The 25,331-nt window shown below is 36.5% G+C and overlaps 1 protein-coding gene across 25 annotated transcripts in view; it reads right to left on the reverse strand.

Annotated features, from left to right (window-relative positions):
- The window catches only part of DGKB (diacylglycerol kinase beta), an 829,810-nt gene that overhangs the window by 685,668 nt on the left and 118,811 nt on the right, over positions 1-25,331 (reverse strand). For all 25 annotated transcript variants that reach the window (XR_001744571.2, NM_001350722.2, NM_001350711.2 and 22 more), the window contains one exon: positions 10,478-10,734. Coding sequence is in view for 21 of the 25 variants with exons in the window: in NM_001350711.2 (NP_001337640.1) it covers positions 10,478-10,547 (70 nt within the window). In the remaining 4 variants the exon portion in view is untranslated. Of the gene's footprint in view, positions 1-10,477; positions 10,735-25,331 lie in introns of those variants that run through there.

Below are 25,331 nucleotides of genomic sequence, written 5' to 3' on the forward strand. Positions count from 1 at the left end.
ATATCAATGGCATGCTGGAGTTTCATTCACTTGCAAGAGTTTTCAAGGCATTTTACAAAAGAAGTTACTGCAGCTAGATTAGGGCCATTTGACCTCTTGCCCCAAATTATTTATTTTTCTATGTTCATTTTATAATAAAGTACTGAAAATAACTTAATGATAACTAATATTTGTAAGAAAAACTGTGTGCACACACATGCACATGTGTGTGCATGTGTGCATGTATGTGTGTGAATATCTGTGTGTTAAGAGACTTAGTTTTTTAAAATGAAATGGAAGAATTAAGACTATTTTTCATGGCTAGGTTCTATTAAACACAGCAATTACGTGAATTCCCCTTCATTCTTCCTGGATAAATATAGAAAAGTGAGTAAATCTCCTACTTTGAAAAAGTAGGGCACAAATAAGATGTATCTGAGAACCTAGTCATAGGGCAAAGGGAGAAAAATAAACGGTGAGAGACCAAGACAAGGAGACTTCTGTGCACAAATCTGAGGATATATTTACATGGACCAAAAGGCAACCTGATGGGGAAATATGTATTTTGATTACCTTCTGGACACTGATAATGATGCTAATGGCTACTATATGCTAATATTTATTGAAAGATAATTCTCAATGTTTCCTTCATGTTTCTGTACATTTCACAAGCAGAAGCATCTACAGCCTATGTTCCAGACTGTCATTCCAAGGATGTTTTTGTAGTGGACAACCTTGGGAGACAGAGATTATAACTCTCCTTTGAGCAAAAAGAAGATGTGTTTGTTGTGCTTTATAAAAGACTCAGATTCCCTAAATTTGGGGATTTCCTCCTGACACAACTCTCTGCTTGTGCAGATGTGACCTGGCCCTTTTCATGTTTCCCAATAAAACTAAAGTAGGGGGACAGAAAAAAAACATGAGGTACATGCTGTTTGCTATGACATAATTAATACAGTTCTTTGTCTCAGAGCCAGGAGTCTCATGTCTTCTCCTAGCATCCGAGGATCTGCAGCAGGCTATCTTATTACACAGTTATTACAGAAATATTTCAGACCTTCCACAGTCTGGGCAATGGTCTTTGTTGTAAAATGCCTTTTTGAGTATCAGAAAATAATCATTGCTCCTAACGGATTTGAAGATAAACTACGCTTATTTACGTTCCAAGAGGTAAAAGAAGAAAATCAGACCACTATAAGCAGAAGGACATTTCTCACATAGTCTCACCAAAGCAAATTGCAAAATTCAATAAAGAATATATCTCGGAGAAGCCAAGATATAGAACTATAGAAAAAGAAAAGATAGTAGAACAATAACTCAGTACATCCTAATAATAACAACGAAAGCAATAATTAACTTACATATGGTGGTTTGCAGTTTACAATGCATTTCCACACATTATTTTATTTGGGTCTTATAACGACCTTTGAAATAGTCTTTTTTATTTTCTTAATTACACCGTTGAGAAAATTAAAGTTTAGAAAAGGTTACATAAGTTGCTGACGGCCAAAACTAACAAGTTAAGGAAATAAACAATTGATATAGACTCAAGCAAACTGAATAAAACCAAAAACAAAAATCAAGATTTGGCCTTAGGATCACAATCTTTTGTCACAAATTATTTCCTTTCTGTTTTAAATCTTCCACTTGTCCCCTGTGAACATGTCTTTCTCTCCTATGCAGAAGAACAAAATCCCTCTATTTACACTGTTTACTTTAGTTATAATCCTTCCACTTTGTTTTCATGGTGAAATTATATAAAGAGTAGCTTACATGTGTTCTCTCTGTCTTTCCTGTTTTCCATCCATTTCATCTATTATTGTTTTTTAAAAAAATCCATATTAAAATCACCAGTGGCATTCTAAATGATAAAGACTCGGGATGCGTTTTGGTTATTATCTCAAGTTCAATCTCATTTTTTGAAAACATGTTTCTTCTTTGGATTGTGGAATACTTTCAATCACTTATTCTCTTCTTTCTTTCTGGTTACAATTTCTCAGTTGTTTTCATGGAGATCTCATCTTCCAACTGTCTTATAAATAAATCTTTCTAGAGTTTCATCTCCATCCTTCTCTCCTTGCTCAATCTGCTTCCACTAAAACATCTCATCTATGCCCATGATTTGATAACTACTCACAATGCAAAGGCACACCCATTCTATATGTCTGGCTCTGATTTCTTTCTTGAGCTCCAGATATGTATTTCCAAGTATCGAATTTATATCTCAATCTGATAACCTGTGAACTTAAGGTTCAATATGTCCAAAATCAAACCACTCTACTTTCCCTCTAAATTATTTCTTTTTGTTTTCCTTTCCTGGATTGGGTGAGCCACACTGACTTACTTCTAAAAGCTGAAATGCCCCATCCTTCTTCCTTAGTCTCCATATTCAGTTGGTGATTGAATTCGGTTCATTCTGCCTCTAGATACTCCCTGTAACATGTGCTTATCTCTCTGTTAACAATGCCTTAACCTTCATGGAACCCCACATATTCAATAGGCTGCCCTAGTAAAATAATCTCCTAATAGGTTTTTAGTCTCCTTTTCATCAAAGATACAATTTATTTACTTCTTTCTGAAATTTAAATCTTACAATTTTGCTATCTCCAGAATTAAAATCTTCAATATCTTCAGATATTTTACTACCTCCAAAATTAATATTGAAGATATTGATTTATGTTTATGTCTTTATGAAGATTTATGTTTGTTTTTATGTTTATGTTTGTGTTTTTATGAAGATTGATTTGTTAATAAATAGGTTCTTAATCATGTTTCAGGAATAGGAAAAGCTAGACTCCAGGATTTGGATTTTAACATCTCCACAAGGAAAGGGGAGAGGGGCTTGACTTCTTCTCAGGAGTGTATTCATTTCATTGTTAGGCAATGTTGATGGATAATATTTTATCAATGGCATCTAAAGACCCACTTTTTGTGACTATTGCTAAATTCTTCAGCCTTACCTTCAGTGCTTAGACTCATGCCCATGTACACACATGCATGACATGCATGCTCATACACAAATATGTCTATACACCAACACACACATCAAGTTCTTCCCTGATATGTAACAGTCATTCCTGCTTCTCCACATGCTCTGATAACTGCTTGGAGTTTCTTTTCTTCCCCCACCTCTACTCAATACTTTCTATTCAAATTAAAACCCCATTCCACTCTCAACTTCTATCCATATGCGCAGAGTTAAAATCTCTCCAAGAATCTTGCATACGTAACATTCAGAGAATGCATTTCATTGCTTTGTCATCATTTGCCACTGGATCTGTCTCTCCGAACAGGCTGCTGAATAATGAATACAGTTAAGTTCCTCTAGCTTGTGTACTCTATTTATTATTTACTGTGGCACTTCCTATAATAATGTGGAAAGTGGTAACTAAGGAAACTTGGAAAATTCTAGTGAATCACAACCTGTAAACCATCACTGAGTTAAGGATAAAGTATCAACTTAAGATACATAAGCCTTAGTGATAATTTTTGTTATAAATTGTTATAATAATATTACTAACAAAAATAAGAGCTATCATTTTATAGGTAGGGATTATTATCTTCAGTATAAACTGAGGGGATGAAATGAAAGTATAAAGAAATTGTGATGACTTGGCTAATGTCCCAAGGTAAATGGTAGGTTCTATTTTACTCCTGTGATAATGGCCAAATTAGTAGTTTTCACCAAATAGCTCAGTTCTCCCCTGGCACTGGGCAGATGGAAGAAATGCTACTCCCTTGAAGTTAAATATGGTCATGTGAATTGCTTAGGCCAAAGAAATATTAGCGTATCACTTGCAGGGAGAAGGTATCAGAGCCAGCACACAGTCACGAGTGCTCTCTCTCTCTCTCTTTCTCTCTCTGTCACAGCAACTGCCAATTTTTAAAGCTCATGGCTGCTCCATCTGACTGGGACTTCACTGTAGACAATGTGAGATGAAACCACTTGCTGACTCAGATTGGAAATGTAATATGAGCAAAAAATGAACTTCTGTTGTGTTAGCCCACTAAGACTTCGTACATTTTTCAGACATGGCATGATTTGGCTCACTTTGACCAACATTCCACAGATGCCATTACTTCAGTATCAATGTTTGCTTGACCATAAATTGGACTCAAATGGATTTTTTGGGGGGAGGTCAAGTCTGAAAAGAGCTTACCCAAAGTTTTGCATCTTTAGGGTACGAAAATTATGGGAGTTTAGACGTTCATAGTTACTTTTTTCTTTTACTATTGCAAAACTTAGGTATTGAAAGATTTAAGACATATGGACACAGAGAAGCCACCAACAGGAAATTGTGTCTGAAGCAGTACAACAAATAGGAACCAGAGCCAGAGATGAGGCAAAAGAATATATGAAGCCAACATATATTCTAGAAATATAATCTGGGTCAGAGCCAGGAACTGCTGAGTTAATCAGTGTGAATCAGAAGAAAGAGTCAGAAATGAGAGACATGCACTACCTAAAACAGTTGCAGATTCAAGTTTCAGACCAAGTGTCAGGGTAAAGTCAAGACATTTCTGGTAAGTCAAAACATTTCAGATAAGTGTTTTAACTGAAAAGGCTTAAATATTTTAAAAGTCCACATTTCATATTCAACTGCCTCAGCCACCACTATCACAATCCTAATTATAACAGTAATATATTAAATTCCAAGCACTTCACATACATTTCCATATTTAATCAGCAAGGCAACTCCATGAGGAAACTGAAGTATACATCACAGCACTAGCCTTCAAACCCAGTTTTGTCTGACATCAAATTATGTGTTCTCAGACACTGCGAAATGGCCCTGTGCCATTTATCCTTCTGTCTCATACAAAGAGGGTAATTATCAATAAGTGGCTGGGCTTCCCAAAATAGAGCCAATCTAACACAGGGCTCAGGACAGAAGTAAAAGCTAATCTCAGCATGACAAACGGGCAAGAGGGCTAGCGTGTGATCTAAATTTGCCTAAAAATAAATTGACTACACACCTGTGAGGAGGTCAAGTCTCTCTCTCTCTCCCCTTTCAGGACCGAGATATCGTATTATCTGAATCCTGGATTCTAGCTTTTCCTATTTTGGAAACATGACTAAGAACCTGTTTATTAACATATCAATCTTCATGAAAAACATAAACAAATTATTCCTGTTTTGACCTTTGTTATCACTTATTGTGCCACAGTTCTGGTCCAGCTACTCTGCCATAAACAGCAATAATTTGTCTCCCTCTGAGGCTTACTGCGAGGATTAAATGAGTTAACACTTGTATACTATTTACAGTAAGGCACTGAAAATCCATTATTTAGTATGACGCTGATTATAGTCTCATTAAATCCTACAACAAGATTTTGAGGTGGGATTCTACTTTTTCAAGTGAGAAAGCTGAGGCTCAGGTAGTTTATGTTACATTACGAAGGCCATACCACTAATAAGTAGAAAACAGGGCTGGGATTCCACACCGTCAAATATTTGCCTGCAAAACCAAAGCTCTTTCCACTAAGTCACACCACATGCCTCACTGCAATGGAAGAAACTGCACACCAGGTCCAAACATTATGCACATTCGTCCTTATTGAAAAGAACAAATTCACTGTAATTTTGCAACTCCTCACAATGCCAGCTGCTATAAACTGTATGAAATTTATGAAAGTTTGGAAAGGTTCCCACCATAATAACATAGTATTTTTCGAAAATAATTTGCATGCTATATAACACACATTATATATAGCAAATAAAAAGCTAACCCTAAGTGACAATACGTGGGCAGATAATGAATCATTTGGAAATATCACGTAGATTTCACATAGAAAATATTGTTATCCATGAAAAGCCCAGGAGTTTCTTAACCCTTTGCTGTGACGTGGAACCACAGCAGAAAGCACCGACAGACCAATAATGTGATAAGCTTAATTCTCTAAAGGGCAGGAGTGAGAGCTTTCTATCCTATAACAACAGTTTGGATGACTTTATATCAAGAGTGAGGAAGAAAATTATACTCCTCTCCCACATATCAAGGGAAATGCTTCCCATGGAGTGACTCAGCCTGAAACCCTAAACCGGAGCACGGTCACAGCATGCTGTAGGCAGTCACAGCAGGCTCCGTATCAGCTGCCTTCGGCATTTGTAGGGACAACACAGAGCGGAGGCTGCCAATTACACCAGAAGCTTCTACCTTGTGAGAAGAGTCTAATCTAGTGGAAGAAAAACAGACACTGACTCTTCATGCTCCAAACTGTGGCTCTTTTCTACTTGATCATCAACAATATGTTCAAACAGCCAGAAGAACACACTCCCTCTCTAGTAAGATAATAATTGTAAACAGTCATATCACTAGCAATTTGCCAGGCACGGCTCTCATTACTTCATATATACTAATTCATACTTCATATATACTGATTCATTCAACTTAATACTTATAGCACTGGACATATTTTTTTCCATATAAAACACAGATATATTAAGTTACCCAAAGTCAGATATCTGAAGTATGGTAGGATCAGTATTTAAACACAAGCTGTCTGGTATGCTAGATACCTATCCAAGAATACTGTGCCAGTATCACCCTACTTATCCTTAATTATTTTTAAGAAAAGCCTAGCATTTAGGAGAACAATCATAGTTACAGGGTGCATTCTGGCAATTGTGGAGGAAATGTAAAATCAGATAACTTGAGACAATTATCTTTATGGTATTCTCTAGGTCCAACATTGAATGATTTGGTTTTGCTGGAATTGGTGTCCCATGAGCTCACTCATCTTGCCCAATAGTTCCACAGCCCCACCTTATTCCAAGAAAGCAAATAAAATACTTATTTGATATATACCAAATATAATCTTAGCATGTTGCAAATTTAACTTTAAATCAATAACTTGATTTTTTATACTTCTTTAATGTACATAAAGAAATTCTTATTAAAAGATACAAATCAAACTCAAGAAAGTGAATGCATTGTATCATTTTTCTAATAGAGTATGGAGGAATGTCACTTACCAATACTGCATTGCAACATGAAAAATCTAATCTTTAAAGCCCCCGATAAACTGATCATGCATATTGAACAGCATGAAAAATGAATGACTTCTATAATCTTCAGGATGATGTTTGTTTCCTGTTATATTTTGGCACTGGCAATTTATTACACAAGAATAGGTTCTAATCATGATATTCTTTGCTTCCTAATTATTCAGGAAAGTCCTTGGAGCAGGAAATCTAGCACTTTTCATGTTGTCTTTGTTATTTAAAAATAGCGTAATAATCATGGAATTGGCACTATTTCTTTAAAAGTCACAGCTAATCTGTTAATTTGTCTTCTCATAGAATCCATTTTAATAATGCTCTTACACTCAGTGTGACATTTCATACTACCAATTTACTGAACAACCATTGATCTTTGTCTCAGTATATTATGGATTTTATATTTATGATAATTTTTATTACCACTTGTTTTAGGAATTTTCACAAATTTATTACTGATTTGTGTATTCTTATGATATAATTAAATGTACCTCCATATTCATTAGCCAATGAAATACAAGTAGCAGCCTATAATACACTGAAGAATTTAGTAGAAATGTCTTTCTTCTAATCAATTCAAATGGAATTTCTATATCTGAGCAATAGCAATTATGAATAAAACATTAGCTATCATAGCAATAATTTATATATTTTATAGTAATGTTTCATATAATACAGGAACTTTTCTTATAAGTACTTAAACACTGGAAAATATATTTTAATAAACAAGCCAAATTCAACATAACCTAAGCCAAACTCAATGCTTTCTTTACTTGACAGATATCACCATAATCCCTTCTTTTAAAACTGGAGGAAAATTTCAGATCACTCTCTCTCTTCCCCTCTCTCTCTCTCTCTGTCAGTTGTTGTATTTTATTATTTTCCAAGATATCCTCTGTTAATTTCAATATTATAAAATCTGAATCCCCACTTTTCCAGTCGTCTTTCATGATCTACGTTATGCAGTCTACACCAATACCCTACTAACTAGTCTCTAGTCTCTAGCATCTTTCCATCACCATATACCATCTTCTCAGTCGTCAAAGTAAACTTCTCGAAGCATAACATTGCTTCTGTCACTCTACCACTTATAACTGTACAATGACTTCATTGTTTGACTCAAGTACGGCATATTTTGATATGCTTGCATTCTTACAGACTTCACTCACTCCCTTCAATTGTGATGGGCTAAATGTGCCTCACCTCCCTTCCTCAAATTTATGCCAAATTTTCCTTTTTATCCATATCATTTCCTTTGTCATTTACCTTAAACCTAATTTTTAAATATTTGTTTCAAATCCTCCCTCTTGTACGAAGACTTCCCTTTCCGTTCCTATCTCCAATGGAATTGTAAAACCCCATATAACCTTAAAGTCTGCTTGTATCACATACAATATTCTGGCTAGACATAGAATTATTTATCTATTAGTTTCTAGCCTTCTTTAAACTATAAATTCCTTGAATGGAGGACACATATCTCTTCATATTTGCATCTCCTGCAGCACCAAGCAGAAAACTCACTCTGAAGAAGATGCTCAGAAATATTTACTTAATGATTGGATTACCACAGCAGCAAAGAGCAGAGCATATGGAAATTTGAAATCATAGGCAAATCAATTTTTAACCAATTTAGAAAGTATTGAGTATAAGACTGCAAGTGATAAAGAAGAAGTAGGCCATTCTGAACTAAATTTTCTTTACTCTTCTTCTTCTTTTTTTTTTTTTTTTTTTGACAGGGTCTGGCTGTCAGCCATGGTAGAGTGCAGTGGCACAATGGCTCACTGCAGCCTCAGCCTCCTGGGCTCCAGCAATCCTCTCACCTCAGCCTGCCAAGTAGCTGGGACTACATGTGCATGCCAGCCTGCTGGGCTAATTTTTTTTTTTTCCATAGAGACAGGGTCTCACTGTTTTGCCCAGTCTAGTCATGAACTGCTGGGCTCAAGCAATCCTTCTGCCTACACCTCCAAAACCTAAATGTAAATATTCGTAATATGATAAATGCATATATTGTACATTCAGAGGCTCTACACAGTTTTGAGTGTGAGAACCATAAGTTATGTCAAAATTTCCAAATATCATATATTTTGTAATCATATTTTTATTATTATTGACTCAGTCAATAGTCATAGACTTTTTTTAGTTTTTTAAAATGCCTATGAAATTATAGATTTGGAACTTCCTTACAAATACCCAGCAGCATTCTCATACCCTCATTCAATCCACAGACTAGGAAGCTTCTAGAATACCTTTGAAACTGGTCTTTTCAGATAATATACATGAAGCATTTATTAGTGTTCCTGGCTCATAATATGTACTCTATAATTAATGTGAGTGATAGTATTCGCTATTACCATCACATCTATCTTCATGTTCTAAGTCCCTATATGTGTTTAACCCTTTTCTCTGCTTCTACTTTATAATATCATCCAACTAATTCCTGATACACATCTCTTATATCCCACAACATCTTTCTGCATAAGTTGACCAGATGCCTTAATTTTTACCTCGTTCACTATCACGTGCTGTTTGGTTCTTTTTCTCCTTTCCACTTCTTGCATTTTATTCTCCCTGTCACCATGTTATTCTTTCCATTCTTATCATTCTTATTGCATTCTCTATATATTGCTTTTTCTGTACTCATCATTTTCCAAGTCTTTTGGTGCCTGCTATTAATTAGTTGTTTCTTTTTCTCTCTTCAACACCTGACCCAACTGCTGTTCATATTTATAGTTGAAAGTCACTTTATGAAATAGACATATTCCTGAAAATCTAGAATAAAAACAAATTTCTTATAAATAAAATCTTACTCTACATATGCAAAGAAACAATATTTTCTTTTTAAAACTTACAGTGAAGTGAATGATCATAGCCTATCACTTGTATCAATGCACACACTAAAAGAGTTGTGCGGTCCTAACTTGAGGTCCTGACACCTCTTTCTTTTACAACCTCTGATTCTAATTCCATAATGTATCTATGACTCCCTGCTTCCTACTCTCTTTTAACACACACACACACACACACACACACACACACACACACACACACACCTCTCCCTTTTCCCTCCCTCTTGATATCTATGAGTCAGACCATACTGTCTCAAGCACAGCATTGCTTTTTTCTCCTCTTTTTCCTTCCTTCTCACTCTCTGCGCCCGTTTGTCCTTCTCCCTGTCTGTTACAGTATTACCACTCTCCATTTTGCCAGGCTGTCTCATCCTCTGCTTTATTTCTATTACAGCTAGAGTGTTTTCCAAGCCTAATTGTGCACCTAACATTTTAGTTCCTTTCCTTCAAGATGTAATACTTGATTTAATTTACCTTTTCCTTTCTCTTGTGTCAAAAAGGTAGTCTCAAGTCAACCTGACTTGTAAACACAAAAGGCAGAGCTGGATCTATCCCCATGAAGAACAGGATCTATGATCCATTCTTATAAATAAATGATACTTTGTCTAGCACAAATGTCAAATAATCTCATAATATCAATATGAATACTTACACTCAGCATATTTCTGAAGTTGGGAAAATTCCGAAGGGCTGAGGTGGGCCCATTTTTCCTGGTTTGTCATGGTGGTGGTGAGAAGCTCTGTCACATACCAGGTAAAAGATTCTTTATTCAGGTGTTGCGCAGAGGTCTATGCTTCAAAGATTCCACATGGCATGTTTCATGATAAAATACCTCAGGCTTTCAAAATATGCAATCTGTCCACATGAAACTGCTTTGGATGCTTGTAATTTCAATAATGTGTTAAAGAACTGCAAAAAAAAAAAACAGATCAAGATCAAAAGATTAACATGATTGCACAAAGGAAAAAAATGTCAAGGTGTTGAATGTTAAATACTTTTTAAATCATATAAATTAAGAGTACAAATTGTGAGAAGAATCTTATAAAGCACATTTTCATAAATGTACATTTTTATGTCTAGTTTTACAAACTCCACATTCCACGAGTAGACAGTGGTATCATTTTTATCAGTCTGTACCAATTTTTTAATATGTAAACATTACATATAAAATCTAGACCTAAATTATCCAAGGAGGCTAAAATAAGCTCTCTAGCTCCCTATACATATGATTTGCTAGTTTACAGTATAGACTGCCAATAATTGCTTGGAATGTTCATCAGCACTAGCATATATATTTCCAATCATATGAATTAATTTTGGAGAAGTCATATAATTTGTTCTAGCAATCAAATAAAGATTAAGTTTTAGTTTTATGATTTAAAAAAATTCAAAAGATTGGCCAAATTAAAGCAATTCCAAATGTCTGAAAGACTTGTGTAATGACAGTAGATGATTCTATTGTGAATCACGCTTTAAAATAAATCTCTAGGTTGTCATGGACCTACATTCACTGGCTATATCTGTAAAGGCAAACAAAATGAAAAACCATCTGGTTTCAACATTTTTATCAGAGACTATAATCAATTGCTCAATAATCAGCCAGATTGGCACTGTATTCTTTACAGAAAATGAAGTATTTAGTAAGAGTTACTTTTTTGTAAAATTGTAATCATTGCAAGGTTTATTTATACAGATGTCATTACTTAAAGTCACCTTACTTCTACAGACAAGACTCATTTGGTCTTAGTGCCTTGCCTTTCTTCAACATCTCTTTACTGTCTTCCAATATCAACCCCAGGACCTCACTGTCAAATCCTGTCATCCTTGTCTTTAAAAACTGTTCTTTTTGGTCTCGTGGGGTCACGTCCCTGTACTCTGTTTTACAATATGGTAGTTTAATATACAATGGGGAAATGATGATATTGATGTGCTCACAGAGACCAAACTGCTGGATATCTTTTCTCTTTTCTCTCCCAAGGGCAACCATGGGTTTGGGGAAGCAACACAAGTGAAAGAGAATGGGAATATGCAATGACAATTGTGGACATCTTCCACCCAGTTTCCTTCTGCTGATTTCATCTTTCACACTAATTTCATCCTAACTGTCTGTCTCTCTCTGGTTACAGGCAGTTTTGGTGGGACTGTGAAATGATGTGTTCTGTCCTCCTCTAACCAAAGGGAGACAGATGATTCTGTCACATTGGCACATTACACACCTGTCTCCCAGGGCTTTAAATGTTGAGTGGAGTGATTCAATGACAGGGTGAAAACAGCTGTACCTAAATCATAACAGAAATAATTGGATACTCATTCCTGTCTAAACCTGACTCTCCAGCTATCTTGTCACTTCCAGAAGCTTGTGATATTCTTTTAATAAAGGATTAAGGCCAGGCAGGTGGCTAATGCCTATAATCCCAGCACACTGGGAGGCTGAGGCAGGAGGATGGAATGAGCCCAGGTGTTTGAGACCAGCCTGGACAACATAACGAGACCCCATCTCTACAAAAAAAACATTAGTTGGATGTAGTGGTGCACATCTGTGGTCTCAGCTACTCAGGGGGAATAGTGGGGGAGCTGAGGTGGGAGAATCACTGGAGCCCAGGAGGCTGAGGCTGCAGTGAGCTGTGATTATGCTGCTGTACTCCAGCCTGGGCAACAGAGCAAGATTCTGTCTTAAAAAAAAAAAAAAGGATTAAATGTATACATATACCAAGACATCACACTGCACCCTATAAATACATACAATTATTATTTGTTAATTAAATTTTAATAACTTTTTTTTTTTTTTTTTTTTTTTTTTTTTTGAGACGGAGTCTCGCTCTGTCGCCCAGGCCGGACTGCGGACTGCAGTGGCGCAATCTCGGCTCACTGCAAGCTCCGCTTCCCGGGTTCACGCCATTCTCCTGCCTCAGCCTCCCGAGTAGCTGGGACTACAGGCGCCCGCCACCGCGCCCGGCTAATTTTTTGTATTTTTAGTAGAGACGGGGTTTCACCTTGTTAGCCAGGATGGTCTCGATCTCCTGACCTCATGATCCACCCGCCTCGGCCTCCCAAAGTGCTGGGATTACAGGCGTGAGCCACCGCGCCCAGCCAATAACTTTTTTTAAAGTCAAGGATTAAGTGAGCCAGAATAAGTTTTTAATTGCCAACAAGGCAAAAATCTTAACTGGTAATAACAACGGTTTATTTGTTTATTCAAATATTTGTTGAGCCTTGCTGTCTGCCAGAAAGCTTTCTAGGCAATGAAGCTAGAGCAAAGATCAAAACATAAAAAGATGAAAATAATGCTATTCCAACAATGTGTCAGCTTTATTGAGAGCTTACAGTTACACGAAAGGCAGTCTCCTAATCACATGACTGTATTAGGTCATTCAATCTTCAGAAAGCAACTCTGTGAGGTAGGTGCTAATAGTCTCCCCTTTTGACAAATAGAGAAAGTGACACTGGTGACTGAATCTGGTAGGTGTAGCACAGACTGCTCCAAGCCCACCCAGTATCCATTCTCTTTTGCTTACTTGGTAACAAGAAAGATAGTGAAAATAAATCTGTTTAAATGACTGCATTCCCTAGATTTCTTACATGAAGAAGTGGCCAATGAGATGTAAGTAGATGTTGGTGAAGCATATAGAAAAGTTCTATTAGAGGAAATAGTTGCTGGCAAGTGCCCTTTCAACCTTTTATTCTTTTCCTCCACCTTACCACCTGAAATGGTGACATGTTGGCTGCAAACCCAGAAGTTTCTTGTACTAAATAGACAACTTTAATATGGAGGCTATGTGTTAGGGATAGGAAGCCCACATAAACTAGACAGGGGTAAGCAAATAACTAATCAGGGAACAAATTTGGTCCACCACCTGTTTTTGTAAATATAGGTGATTGGAGCACACAGCAATAGGTTGTTTTTGAAGGGATTTCAATACTAAATAAAGAGGCTTGGGCATTATCCTCAGGGAAATAAGATACAACAAAAGGACTACAAAAAAACCCAGAAACCTGATCACTCTTACATTTCTGAAATGTCAGTATCTTCATTGAGTTCCTTTCTCTCTCACTTGCATTGTTGTGATAGCTTCTTAACTCGCTCCCTGAGCTCTCTCCCTTTCTTAACATGGCCATTTCCCAAACCCCCTTGGTGTCCTTGGATGGTCATGAACTAGGATGATTCCTGAGGCCTGTCTGACAAATTACCAACAACAAGTTAATTAATAAGTTATAATTGTAATAATTATCTTAATTATATCTTTCCACCTGCCTACCTGCTCTGAAATTAATTAAAATCCCCCAGCTGGGCACGGTGGCTCAAGCCTGTAATCCCAGCACTTTGGGAGGCCAAGGTGGGTGGATCACTTGAGCTCAGGAGTTCTAGACCAGCCTGGGCAACATGGAGAAACCCTGTCTCTACCAAAAATACAAAAATTAGCTGGGCATGGTAGCATGTGCCTGTAGTCCCAGCTACTCAGGAGGCTGAGGTGGGAGGATTGCATGGGCCCAGGAGGTAGAGGTTGCAGTGGGCTTTGATTGCACCACTGTACTCCATCCTCAGTGACAGAGCAAGGCCCTGTGTCAAAAAAAAAAAAAAAAAAAAAAAAAAAAAAAAAGAAAGAAAGAAAAAAAGGAAGAAAAATATCCCCCAGTTCATTATGAGAAATTCAAATTTAAAATGACTGGTGAACTGCCATCCTTAGATCTGTACAGGAATGCTAACCATGTATCAAGGCTCACCTGGTTATTGAATTTAAAATTGCACACTCATACAGACCATCCCTTCATTCATTTTTTACATTTGTTTTGAATATAACATTTTAACATCAAATACTTCATTTATTTATATTATTTAACATTTGTCTCCACACACTACAATTAGGGGAAATATAAGTTGTTTTGAGCCCTGATGGAATTTCACAAAAAGGACAAAACACCTAAAAGTACTAGGTTTGCCCTTGATTTTCATCCAACCTATATATTAGATTCTGCATCACCATCCTGCGCTACACTCCACGATGTAAGCCCCATGGAGGGCAGGAATTTTTGTTCATTTGTTCACTGCTGTTTTCCCAGTGCTTAGAAGAGTGCTTGGTATATAGTCTCAGGTCAATGAATATTTCTTGAATGAATTCACTTATTTCCTTTTTGTTCATAAAGAAAAGGTTGAGTGGAAGAATTAATTAGAAGGAGGCCCTGAGGTTGAGAAAGAGAAAATAGTGCATAAAGGAGACAAGAACAGAAGTCACTCTGGGTTTCAGTTTTCCTAGGGACTACATCCATTTTCTTCAACTGAATGGGCATTAAAAAAAAAAAAAGAAGTGCACTTTCAGGTACAAAGCTTTTACAGTTGAAAATGGGTGGCATTATTTCACACATTTTGTGAATTTTTTAAGTAAAACTAACTCCATATAAATAAGCATCATTCCCAAGGGATGCCTTGTGATGTCAGCTAACCAATTTACCATAACAACACTTACACATGACCACCAAGTATATTTTTATTTATCAATATCTAACAAAAACACCACTTAACTTTCTTTGATTTAGCATGACCTGGTCAACTTAGGTCTTCACTTTTTATAACAAGGACAGCTTCTCTGGATTGATCTACCCCTATTTGCATTTTGACAAGTGATATTTACAAAATAATGGTATCTCTGAGTGGCTCAAAGTAAATTTACTTTGGCTGTTGGATTTGGTTTATTCCAATACCAAAATGCTTTGAATAAATCCTCTCTTTCTCACCTTTCTTCTAGTGTAAGCCATTGGTTTCTCATAATTCTCATAGTTCTAACCCTCATCACGTGATATGACATGTAGCTAAATAGTAAAAATAAGGGTTGGTTACAAGTGAGGAATTTTTTCTTAGTCAAATCTTTTTACTAGCTGAACTGGCATACACAAGCCTATGAAAAAAGAAATGTTTCACGTGTAATTTCAAATACAGAGGCACAGCTATATCTCATGCCTCAGAAGGTAATGAAAATGATGGCAGCACATTCTTATAGTCCCCGCCTCTTCATAAATGGGTAGAAAGAATGTGACAATATTCAGCTGAGATTCCCTGCGGTGCATTCACAAGTTTCCTGTTCCCCTGCAGAAGTCTTTCTTTAGGCACATAAAATGAGTGTCAGGAGGGATCCACTTTGCTGGCTTTTAGCAAGCAGTCTAATTCTGGCTTTCTCTTCTAGTCAGTGGATGTGCCACTTTGCTTAGTTTGTAGCAGGAAATAACTACGTTGGAAGAGTTGAAGAAAGCTCTTTGGGCCACTGTACCTGGGCTAAAGCACAATCCCTATAATTAGGCGAGAAATCAACCTACTCGTGAAGACGCCATTCGGCAATATCTAGATGAGTCAATCTATTGGGTTGGACGCATCATCTGTGAGTCACATTAAGTGTAGATTTATAAGTAATTATTAGAAGTCAGTATTTCATGACTTCAATAATTGAAGAGAAGTTAATAAACATTAAGACATACTGGGCCGGGCGCGGTGGCTCATGCCTGTAATCCCAGGACTTTGGGAGGCCGAGGCGGGCGGATCACGAGGTCAGGAGATCGAGACCATCCTGGCTAACACGGTGAAACCCCGTCTCTACTAAAAATACAAAAAAATTAACAGAGCGTGGTGGTGGGCACCTGTAGTCCCAGCTACTCGGGAGGCTGAGGCAGGAGAATGGCGTGAACCCAGGAGGCGGAGCTTGCAGTGAGCCGAGATGGCGCCACTGCACTCCAGCCTGGGCGACAGAGCGAGACTCCGTCTCAAAAAAAAAAAAAAAAAAAGACATACTGAAGAATATACGTATACTGGGTCTCAAAGGTCATAAACTCCAAACTGTAAGATTTCCAACAGAAAAAAATCCTAGGGATGGGAAAGGATGCAGAGCCAAAATAAAAACTACAGAATTGCTGAAGAAGTAGGATGAAATTACATGGAATATAAATTCTATAGGTTGGTTTATAATTGCTTGTTCATTTAACCATAAAAAGAAGTCTAAATTTGAGACCCAATGAATGAGATGCAAGGCATCATGCCAGACACTGGGGATGTAGTGTTATGCTAAACAGATATGATACGTGAGCTATTAAATTGTGTTTAGGGGGAAAGAGCTACAATAACTAAACCAACTACACCCATAAATAAATGCAAACTGTGATAAGTTATATGAAAAAAGGCAACAAAGTCTATAAAACTACAACAGGAAGTCCTGATTTCATTTAAGAGATTCAGAGAGCAATTCAGAAAGCCAGGTTTATTTAAACTAACTGACAAAAGTTAAATAATTTTAAACTTGAATGAAGATTAAAAACATCCTGAGCAGAAACTTAGAAGTAAAGAAAAAAACTACAAATATTATAAAATCTCAAAAGAAGTCAGTTATGACTGGATCCTGGTAAGCAAGAAGTAAAGGAGCACATGATTAGACTGGAAAAATTAAAAAGAGCTACATAATTGAGATTATTAGAGGCCATGTTAAGGACAGTACAATTTGTCATAAGTAAATTATGAAACCATTGAAATATTTTTGTGCAGGAGATTAACATGACTGATTTATATTTTAAGAAGTCCACTTTAATCAGTGGATATGAATAGGACAAGAATGGAAGGGGGAAGACCAATTAAGAGGCTGTTCCAATATTGTGTGAGAGCTGGTGGCTTTAGGGAATGGCAATAAAGATCAAGGTTGAAAACTGAACTCAAGACATATTTTTGAAGTAGGACTTGAAAATGAATAGGATAAGTTCTGTGCAGAAAGAGGGGATCAAGAATGACTCCTGTATTTTGGCTTGAGTGCAGGAAATGGAAAGGTAGAATTTAAACAATTTCCAAATACTAGAATAGAACCAGGATTGATGAGAACAGAAAAATCACTATGTTGTTTTGGGATGTATTAAGTTGAGATGATTATCATATATCTGAATTGAATGTACTAGTAGATTTTGAGTTAAGCTTAGAGCTAAGATAAGAGATAAGAGGTATAATATTATCAGTTTTCTATATAGATGATATTTCAAGAATTGGGAATGGCTGTTTGCCTGATGTGGTGACAAAAAGCTATTCCCCTAAGCTCTGCTTCAAAATAGAACTTGCCATTCAGGGCAAAGACTGCAATTAGCAGTCTGTACTTCTTAGAGCCTGTACTTCTTCTTGTCTTCAGAAGTCAACTTAGGTTTTGAACTGAGGTCACACTTTTCCCAGACAAGAATCAATAACAAAAAGATGATGGATGTATTAGGACCATGATATTTCTGTACAATGGAGACCCCTTAAATGGTCCATATTTGTTCCAGAGCTCCCCAATGGGCTGGTTGAGAATTTATCAGGTCTGCACTGTGGTCTGAGGCTATTTCTGACCAACCCTGCATATCCCCTTCTCTTTTCAAAAGCATCAGTTTTGTATTACAATCTGAAAGCTTTCCTTGCCCAATTCTGCTTGCTTTTTTCCCCTTTTTGTGTTTCATAGGAATAATTATCTGATATGTGTTTGCATCCCTATCTCCATATTGGTGTTTGTTTCCTAGTGAAGAATCCCACATGTCAGGATCCCAGTAGGAAACAGATGGCACACTTAAAATTGATAATTAAGAGTTTAATGAAAAGATTATTTAGGAAATGTGGACAGGTAAGGAAAGCTATTGGAGACTAATGCAGTATCCTGAACTAGCAATAGTAGGCAACTTATTGAACATCCTGAAGGGACTAAGGATGTTTTAGCTAACAAACCCCAGAGTAGCTGTATATAGAGGGTCATCTGATAGGAGTAGCTATAATTTGAATATTTGTCCCCCTCACTGCTGCTGAAATTTAATTGCCATTGTAACAATATTATCAAGTGGGACCTTTGAGGGGTATTTAGGCCAGGACGGTTTCACCCTTCTAGATGGGATTAATGCCTTTATAAAAGGGCAAGTTCAGCCTCCTTTGCCCCTTTGCCCTTCCATCTTCCACCATGTGACAATGCAGCAAGAAGGCCCTCACCAGATGCTGGCACCTAGATCTTGGATTTCCCAGCCTCCAATACTGTTATAAAATAAATTTCTCTTTATTATAAATTACCCAGTATCAGTAATTCTGTTAAGAGCAGCACAAAACGGACTGAGACAGGAGTCATTTCCTTTGATAACAGGACACATTTCTTTTTGGATGACCTAGCTGGGCATGAGGTGGAGTAATAAATTACCTAATGTTATCCTCCAAATCTCCATTCTCCTCCAGTGCCTCACACTGACCAAACCTCACCATAAGCCAGAGGACACAGACCACCACTGATCAGTCTCACCAATTTCAAACAATCTCAAGAGGCACAGAGCCTCAAGACAAGGATAAAGGGAGGATCTAAAGGGGAAAAATAGACACTATCCATCACATATGGGGCAAGAGTGTAGTGGAAGAAGGAGACACAGAACAAAGCTCTGAGGAGACGAGTTCTTATATTTAGAGATTAGAGGTGGAAAAAGCCTCCCCCACTTTATCCTACCTCAACCCATCCCCTAAAAACAAGTGAAAGAATATGGTGTCAAAAAAGACAACAGAAGAGAAAGAAAAGAATCCCTCAAGGAGAGACTAGAAGACACTTTTCAAAAGTTTCTGAGCAATTAAATGACAATTGAAGCATCCATTGGCAACATGGTGGCCACTGGTGACTTTAGCAATAGCAATTTCTTTGAAGCTGGGCAAGTTAGATAGTAAAGGTGGCATGATGAAACTGAGTACAGGAAGTGAAGACTGACTCATCAACCCTTGGAGAGTATGATTGTGAGAAGCAGAGAGACAGAAGTAGTTATCCAGAGAAAAAATATGAAATCGAGAGACTTTTTTTTTCTTGTAGAAATTACTGGAATCGATTTTAAAGTTAATGAGAAGAGTTTATTAGTGAGACTGGTTCAAACTTCAGGAGAGAGAAGCTGAGTAGTGTTTTAAACTCCTTAGAAAAGAGGGAGAGATAAGTCCCAGAAAGTCTGTGAGGGCCAAAATTAATCTTAAGGATGGATACAGATGCAAGTAGTTTTGTGGATTTAGTGTTTAGGAAATGGAGGATGTCTGGTTGATTACTTCTGTTTTCTCAATGATGTATAAGTCTTAGTGATGAACTGAGAGTTGAGTTAGGAGGAAATGATGGGGGAAGAGGGAAATAACAGTGTGAATATATGAAAAAATTACCTAAAAATGTGGTGAAGTGATCTCACTAAAGACATAGTAAAAACAGCAGAGTTAAAAGCCAATTGCATATTACTATTCATTAACTTAGAGCTACAACAATCAGCTTCCTCTTAATTATTAATTTATAGACTAAGGAATCTAAAGGACAAATAATCATATTCTTACACATTTGAGTTAGATAGACCTGCATCCTCATTCAGTTTCTGAGCTATGTGTCTTCACTGTGTAGTGAATCATTAAATCTATCTGAGCCTCACTTTCCTTTCTCATGAAAAGTAGATAATATCTCCCACTTCACAGAGCATTAGCATTTAAAGAAATAGCATGTGCACAGTACATAACAAATAAGAGACTCTCAATAATGGTTATTTTCTCTTTGCTTTTACAAGTAGAATTGCTTTTATTAGTAGAATTGAAATTGGACATATATACAGTACATATACGGGGGAAAAGATTGGAAATCTAAACTCTTTTAGAGGAGTATGTGGGTGGCTTAATATAAAATTCATAATTGTGTTATTTTTGGACTCTGCTGACACAAAAAATCTAAAAGAAAAAATTCAAGGGAAATCTTTGGTGATGCAAAAGAGGAAAATATAGCAAGCTTTGTACTGTGTATGTTTTTAAAGTTAAGATTTTGAATTTGGTTTATTATCTTATTCTTGTTAAGAAAGTTCCTTCAAGTGAATTTTCTATTCTCTTTCTTTTCACTTATGATTTTAAAATATCTTTTAGTATTGAGACTGGCAGGTTAGGTGAAAATAAAGATAGATTCTATCCATAGGGATAGAATCTTCTCAATATGAAATAATGTAAAATGCTATGATAGATCCTATTTTCCAAGAATGATGATACGATACCTTTCATCTCACATGGTCTTCAGGAACACTGTTATACTTCTTCAGCAGGTGGTGTCTATGGCTTCTCCCCTTGCACTTAATACCTTTGTGACTTTCTGAAGCTATACCTTATAGCAGAAGTGATGCTCTGCATGTACATCATAAATTGTCACACACTTCAGCCTTTCTTTCTTGGGATACTTGTTCTTGGAAGCTTGCCAACATATCCAAAGAATGCTCAAAGTAGCTCATGTGAAGAGATCACTTGAAGAAGCCATGTATAAGTGTAACAGGAAACAGCCCAGATGAAGTCACAGTCAGCAAGCCAGCTTCCACCCCCAAACATGAGTAAAGACGCCTTCAGATGATTGCAGCCCAAGCTGTCTGCCTAGTAGCCCCATTCTCCAACCTTGAAGTTTTCTCAGCTGAGCTACCAGGATACCATAGAACAGAAACAAGCCAATTCTACTATGCCCATTCTGAATTCCTGGCCTACCAAATCTATAAACACAGTAAAACGATTATTTTACAGCACTAATTATTGGTAGTTGGTTATGCAATAGTAACTACAACAAGTTACTTCAGGTAACATTTGACACATATAAAATGAAATTAAAATACTGTTACTATTCCAGTTATTATTATTATATTTTAACATATGCTGAAAGAAGTATATGTGTGTGTATGTTTAACTCTTAATTTATTAAGTTATTATTGTTACCATTTTTACATTTTAGCATATGCTGAAAGAAGTGTGTGTGTGTGTGTGTTTGTGTGTGTGTGTTTAATTTAATTTACCATTCTTACATTATATAGCCAGGTGCATATTGTTTATCAATTCTCATCTCCCTCTGAAGTGAATAATAAGGAAGGGCTTTGGTAGTTGAATATAAATATTTAATCCAAGTTTTCTTCTTGCTTTGGACTTTGCAAAGAGGAATAGCTAAAATAGTGAAAGTCAAAAAAAAAACAGAAATCAAGCATAGTACACTGGAAAAAGAAAAAGGTTCTAAGCCCAGAAAAAGAAAAGATCCATTTTGTAGGACATGTTTTGTTATTTTTGTTATATTTGTTTTTGTCTTTCATAAAAATTTTCCTAATACAAATATGAGCCCAAACGAAGAGGAGAAAAATGACTACGAATAAAGGATAACTCTTTCCTTCCCCGCCAGGATAGAATACCGATTAAAGAAGAATGCAGTTGAATGGCTTTCTCAATCTATCTGACCTGGGGCTTTTTCAACAGAAACAGATATTTCCTAGAATGTTGATTATTGCAAATTGATAAATTTATCTTTATTTTCCATCCCCAGCTTAAGAAAACAGAAACTTACCAAAAATAATTTTCCAGTGAAAAACTCCTTTCCCAAGGACACTATGATATAATACATATTCTGACTTTGTATTGAATTAGGAATTCATGTGCTAACCAATTATACAATTTTTTCTATTAATTAAAAAATTATAAATTCAGTAACGAGCACTTCCTGGAAACTGATGATTGCGGGCAAAGAACTAATATCTTTCAAACCTTTAATCCCTGGAAAATAATCTACTCTAATGCTGTTATTCAACCTCAAAACAGAGTACAAAATTGCCTAAGGAAAATCACTATTGAAGCACGCGAGGGACTTTTTTACCAAACGATATTTGATGTCTGCACTGAGAAACAAATAATGCTTGTAGTAAATTCACAGTATAAAAACAGAGAAATGGACTCAATTTACACAGCATAGATGTCACCAATAGAAAAATACATATTTTGACTGTATATGCTTTTATTTTCTTCTGAAAGCATTGCCTTATACCTTTCATGTACATACTGGCTCACCAAATATACCACTAAGAAACATTTACAATATCATTTTCTCACTTGTTTTCTGTATTGTTGCTACTACTAAAATCTATAATATTGCCTTTTTCTGCTTGATAGAATATTAAGTGTGCTTTGTTTAAAAATTATACATGACTAGGAATGTTTAAGCCATAAATTGCAAACACTTTTAGAAGTGAGTTTAAAACATTTTTGAAATATAATTATTCTTTAAAATTTATCAGGCCGGTCACAGTGGCTCACGCCTGTAATTGGGAGGCCGAGGTGGGCGGATGACGTGGTCAGGACATCGAGACCATCCTGGCCAACACGGTGAAACCACGTCTCTACTGAAAATACAACAACAACAACAAAAAATTAGCCGGGAGTGGTGGTGGGCGCCTGTAGTCCCAGCTACTCGGGAGGCTGAGGCAGGAGAATGGCGTGAACCCACGAGGCGGAGCTTGCAGTGAGCCGAGATTGGGCCACTGCACTTCAGCCTGGGCGACAGACCGAGACTCCGTCTCAAAAAAAAAAAAAAAAAAAAAAAAAATTTATCATAAAATGGTAATTGGTAGAAACCTCACATGACATTCTATTAGTAAAATATATTTTGCTTTTATCCCTCTGGTCATTGAATTACTTCACACCTTTATCACATCTTGCCTGACTCATTAGCAGTAAGCTCCCTTTATTTCATTATCTGCGGTAAGATCAACATACTGTTTCCAAAAGTCTATCTGCATATGATTTCCTCATCTGGCATCTTTTAATAATTTTATATTACCCATAGGATTATATGCGATTTGCCAAGTTAAACGTATATAATTTAGCCATACACTCTGAACTGATTAGCATGTGACATTTCAGTAAGGTAACTCTGGAGCTTAATCTGCCTAAAACTGTCACTTTGATATTTAAATTCTTTATACCTGATTCTCATGGTGAGCAAAAGGATAATATAAATGATCTCAGGAGGACTAAATCTGTTGTGTAAGACACTTAATACCTGCCACAACGTTTATTATAGTAGATCAGCAGTCCCCAACCTTTTTGGCACCAGGGACCGGTTTCGTGAAAGACAATTTTTCCATGGACGAGGGGTGGAGGCAGGTGGTTATGGAGTGGGGGAGATGGTTTTGGGATGAAACTGTTCCACCTCAGATCATCAGGCATTAGATTCTCATAAGGAGTACATAACCTAGATTCTTCACATACACAGTTCACAGTAGGGTTTGTGCTCCTATGAGAATCTAATGCGGCTGCTGATCTAACAGGAGGCGGAGCTCAGGTGGTAACACTTCCTGGCCCACTGCTCACCTCCTGCTGTGCAGCCCGGTTCCTAACATGCCACAGACAAGTACTGGTATGAGGCCTGTGGGCTGGGGACCCCTGTAGTAGATGACTGAACTGAAAGAGGGGTTGTTAGTACGAGCTATGATTTTCTTTTTAATCTATAGAAGTTTATCCACAGAATTACAAAATAACTGATTGATTAATAAAATTGGTCTACTCTGTGTTACGTGGCCTATATGAAGGGAAATAGACACGTAATAGCTCTTAAAACCAAAGAATGATTTAAAAAAATGAACAAATTCTGAACTGGAATAATTGCATGATGAGATGTAATGCATTCAAGAGAACCCAAGAGACACCCTTCAAATGAACAGAAACTCTAAAAAAACTGAACCATATTATAAAGGCTCTAATGTAGGTTTCTAAAAAAAGCTACTAGAAATAAATTACTCCTTTTTAAGACAAATTCAAGGTGTGAAATGAGGTTGTAATATTTTAAATTAGGTCTATCTCAAAAAAAGATTGGTGAACAGCAGCAGCTGTTTGGAGATCAGCAGAGAAATAGCATGCCTCAGCCTCTCCTGGTTAGAATGAACTAAATTTAGCAACACTTGGAAATCCAGGGAGAGCCTAAATCACACAGTGACATTGACTTTCAACTAACAGATTCCTTCTTCAAGGTTCCTTCAGAGACAAAATATATATCCCTTCTACTTAGGTATATAGTTTTAATCTTGAGGTATTTATTATAAATATGTGCTACATATAACATAGTAGGACATACTAGAAAAAAGATCTAGAACTGAAAATTTGATTACATAAACCTGTATTTGCATTGACCAACAGACATAGCTGACCTCCAACCCAAATAAGCACACGTGCATTCACACACAAACACACACCCACACACAATACATACATACCCCCATGCATATGCACACATTTTGTCAGATGCTGATTCAGCATTTTGCCTTCCTAGGTTATAGGTGAGTAAGTTCTTTAAGGAAAGTCTCAGTTATTGCTTTACTTACCAAAAATTCTTTTGATCATAATGTTTTTGGAAAGCCCAGATTCTTTTCATATTTAATTTCTTGTCCTCATTTTCATTCCTAAATATTAACACCTTATTTGATGTGGATTAGATAGGACTTTTGATATAATTTCAATTCTATTTCTGTAAAGAGCAACTCATATATATCTTTGAAAAATATTTATCCTGATTAACTTATCATAAATAATAGAAACATAAAACTTTAACATGAAGTATGTAGGACACACTATATTAAAATATTGCTACTTTTCTAGTAATACTAGTAGTATTTAGTGACAATATGCTAATTTAGATAATGTGTATATATATATATATACACACACACACACACACATAATTAACATACTCCTAAACCTCTAC

The sequence above is a fragment of the Homo sapiens genome, chromosome 7 (assembly GCF_000001405.40).
Source record: "Homo sapiens chromosome 7, GRCh38.p14 Primary Assembly".
NCBI classification, from domain to species: Eukaryota; Metazoa; Chordata; class Mammalia; order Primates; family Hominidae; genus Homo; species Homo sapiens.